This window comes from Homo sapiens, chromosome 8 (assembly GCF_000001405.40).
Source record: "Homo sapiens chromosome 8, GRCh38.p14 Primary Assembly".
Lineage (NCBI taxonomy): Eukaryota > Metazoa > Chordata > Mammalia > Primates > Hominidae > Homo > Homo sapiens.
The window spans coordinates 11,765,417-11,768,801 of NC_000008.11; positions in this window are offsets into that span (position 1 = coordinate 11,765,417).

Consider the following 3,385-nt stretch of genomic DNA (forward strand, 5'->3'; position numbering starts at 1 on the left):
AAAGGAAGCCCAGATTGAGGTACCATGCCTGACTCATTTACAAATCATGTCGGGTCTCCAGACCATCTGGTTGAAATCCTTTTGTCTCTTAGTCAAGGGAACTTGCCCAAAGCCACAGAGCTGGTGTGAGGAAGAGCAACATTCACTGACCGCCCACCCTCACTAGGAGGGCCATGGGACCGACCCAGGGTACTGCCCTTGCAGTTAATGCGCCTACCATGCGGGGGCGCACGTGTTCTCCCTTTCAGCTTCCATTACAGCCTGAGTTTTCCAGCGGTCAATCCCTCAGCAGCCCCGAAATTCTGCCAACAAAAATCACTTGCTGCTAATCGAACATGACTGCATGTCAAACGCTGCTAGCAGCTTTCTATAGCCGCAGGAAACACTTCCATATCCCCCCACTCACGTTTTGCACATAAAAAAGATATGGCCTACGGATTTTTAGTCACTTGTTGAAGGTCACAGAGCTAGTAAGTGGAAATCAGGGTTCAAACAACATCTATTTCACTCCAGAATCTGGGCTTTTACACCCCACTCTTGTGTCTCCTAAACAGTGGAAATCTACAAAATGGGAAGCCCTGCGCAGTCTGGGTTTAGACGGCAGTCCAAGAGGAAGAGTCTTTCAGTGTCTTTCTAGGAGTTGAGGAGAATCCTTGGTTCCAAATTCTCCCAACTTATAAGTAATGAAAGAAAGACCTAGAGACATTGGGGAATAGGGCTTACTGTTCATGGCCACATACCCCCAAAAAGGGACAACTGGAAGAGCCTGCGGAACCTCACTCAGCCCCTGCTCCTGAGGTGCCCGTAGAGCCACATGGACCCTCACCGTGTGCTTCAGAATCCCCAAACTCTCAGCAGCAACTCAATCCGTTACAGGATCCTAGTATTTTTCTCTTTCACTCCCTTCCTCGCATTCTTTGGGGTGGCTGTATTTTAATCTATTTTCATGTGCATTACAACTCTAGCTCTGTTGGAAAAAAAACAGGGGCACAAAGGAAGGGGGAGCAATTGATTCTGCGCCTCCTAGAAAGCTGGGCGCCCATCCTTTTGGAGCTGAGGCCCACTCCAGTGGGCTTGGGGGTTGCCCCAATCCAGGAGGCAGACAAATATTACTACTACTACTACTAATAATAATAATACAAATAATATTTTCTAAAACGTTTAGTGATGCTATACACCAGATCCAGTGCTGGAGACCCAGTGCAGTCACCAGACCCAATGCAGTGATGGAACTGAATCCTTTCAAGAAATCCCACAGAGGCCGGGTGCAGTGGCTCAGGCCTGTAATCCCAGCACTTTGGGAGCCCGAGGAGGGGGCAGATCACCTGAGGTCAGGAGTTCGAGACCAGCCTGGCCAACATGGTGAAACCCTGTCTCTACTAAAAATACAAGAATTAGCAGGGTGTGGTGGGAGGCGCCTGTAATCCCAGCTACTCGGGAGGCAGAGGCAGGAGAATCACTTGAACCTAGGAGATGGAGGTTGCAGTGAGCCGAGATCGCACCACTGTGCTCCGGCCTGGGTGACAGAGCGAGACTGTCAAAAAAAAAGAAAAGAAAGAAGAGAGAGAAGGAAGAAAAGAAGGAAGGAAGGGTGGGAGGGAGGGAGGGAGGGAGGAAGGAAGGAAGGAAGGAAGGAAAGAAAGAAAGAAAGAAAGAAAGAAAGAAAGAAAGAAAGAAAAAGAGAAAGAGAAAGAAAGAAAGAAAATAAATCAGTAAGGTCATAATTTACAGATGAAGAAACTGAGATGCAGAAAGAGTGAGTTACTTGCCCAGGCTCTCCCAGCTGAGTGGTGGGATGTGGACCCAGGCAGCCTGGTATGGGAGCAGGTTTCTAGCCACTCCTCTGTGGAGTCACTATTCTAGGCTGGCCTTTTCCAGGCAGATTATTCAGCCTTTTTGTCTTAGAATGATGATTGCATATGCTTGCATAGCACTTGCATATACTTACAGTTTATGTGTGTTTCTTAGCTAGTATCTCATTTAATCATTCACATAACATGGATGAATTGAATCATTCACTCAATTTGTTGAGTGTCTACCAACTGCCAATAGCTGATGCTCTAAATTCTTGCTGCTCAAAATGTAGCCCCTAGGGCCGGGCGCGGTGGCTCAAACCTGTAATCCCAGCACTTTGGGAGGCCAAGGAGGGAGGATCACCTAGGTTAGGAGTTCGAGACCAGCCTGGCCAACATGGAGAAACCCTGTCTCTACTAAAAATACAAAAATTAGCTGGGCATGCTTGTGCGTGCCTGTAATCCCAGGTACTTGGGAGGCTGAGGCGGGAGAATCCCTTGAACCCAGGAGGCAGAGGTTGCAGTTAGCTGGGATCGTGCCTGGGTTGCACTCCAGCCTGGGCAACAAGAGTGAAACTATGTCACGGAAAACAAAACAAAACAAAAATGTGGCCCCTAGACCACAGCATCAGCGTCACCCAGCAGCTTGCTGGAAAGGCAACATCTTGGGCCCTGGTATAGACCTTAGAATCTGCATTTAAACAAGGTTCCCAGGGGATTCATAGGTACATTGAAGTTTGAGAAGCGTGGCTTTGTGATATTTCTATAATACCATTTAATAGATATCCCATTTAATGAATGAAGTCAGAGATACTGTGACTTGCTTGTATCCCCACAACTAATAATGAAGCAATATATGCAAAGAGCTCACAACAGTGTTTTGCACATAGTACGCGCTCAATAAACAATAACAATCAATGACAGAGCCAAGCTGTGAACCATGAGATTTTCAATTGCATAGCCCCTTAGCCTCAGAAGAACCCCTTTAGGCACCAGGCATTCATTCCACCAGGTAAGGCGAGGACTGTGGCTACGGCTTCCCTCCCGGCTCAGCCACTCTACAGAAAGAGAAACTAGGGGGCCCAGAAGCTACCATTGTGGTGAGCCTGATCCTATAGCAGGGGCATCCTGGGGGTGGGGGGGTCGTTATTCTCCAGAAAAGGCCGGACATAGAAAGAGGGGGACCAGAGGCTCTTCAAGGGATGCCTCCTGCAAACCCCATGCCCTCCAACCTCATCCCCTCTGCCTCCAGATGCCTTTCTAGATGAGGACCCTATACCCTAGGCCTCCCCAGGCCTCCCTCTCCTCACCTCCTGCCCTAGCCTGTTCAGTAGGTGACCACTGTGGGAAGGCCACTTGTAACCTCCCTCTCAATCAGTAGGACACAACCATGTCTCTGACGGTGGGCTGGGCTTGTTTCCCTGTGCTGACCAAGTCCTTCCCCAGGGACCCCTCAGCTAGGGTCCATGGTGACTTCACCCCAGCCTATTTCCTGAACACCTGCTGGGGAGTTCCCCAGACTTTCCTCCCAACTTCCTGGAAAGTGCTGGCTCCCCATCCTCCTTCGAGAACTAAAGACAAGAAAACATATG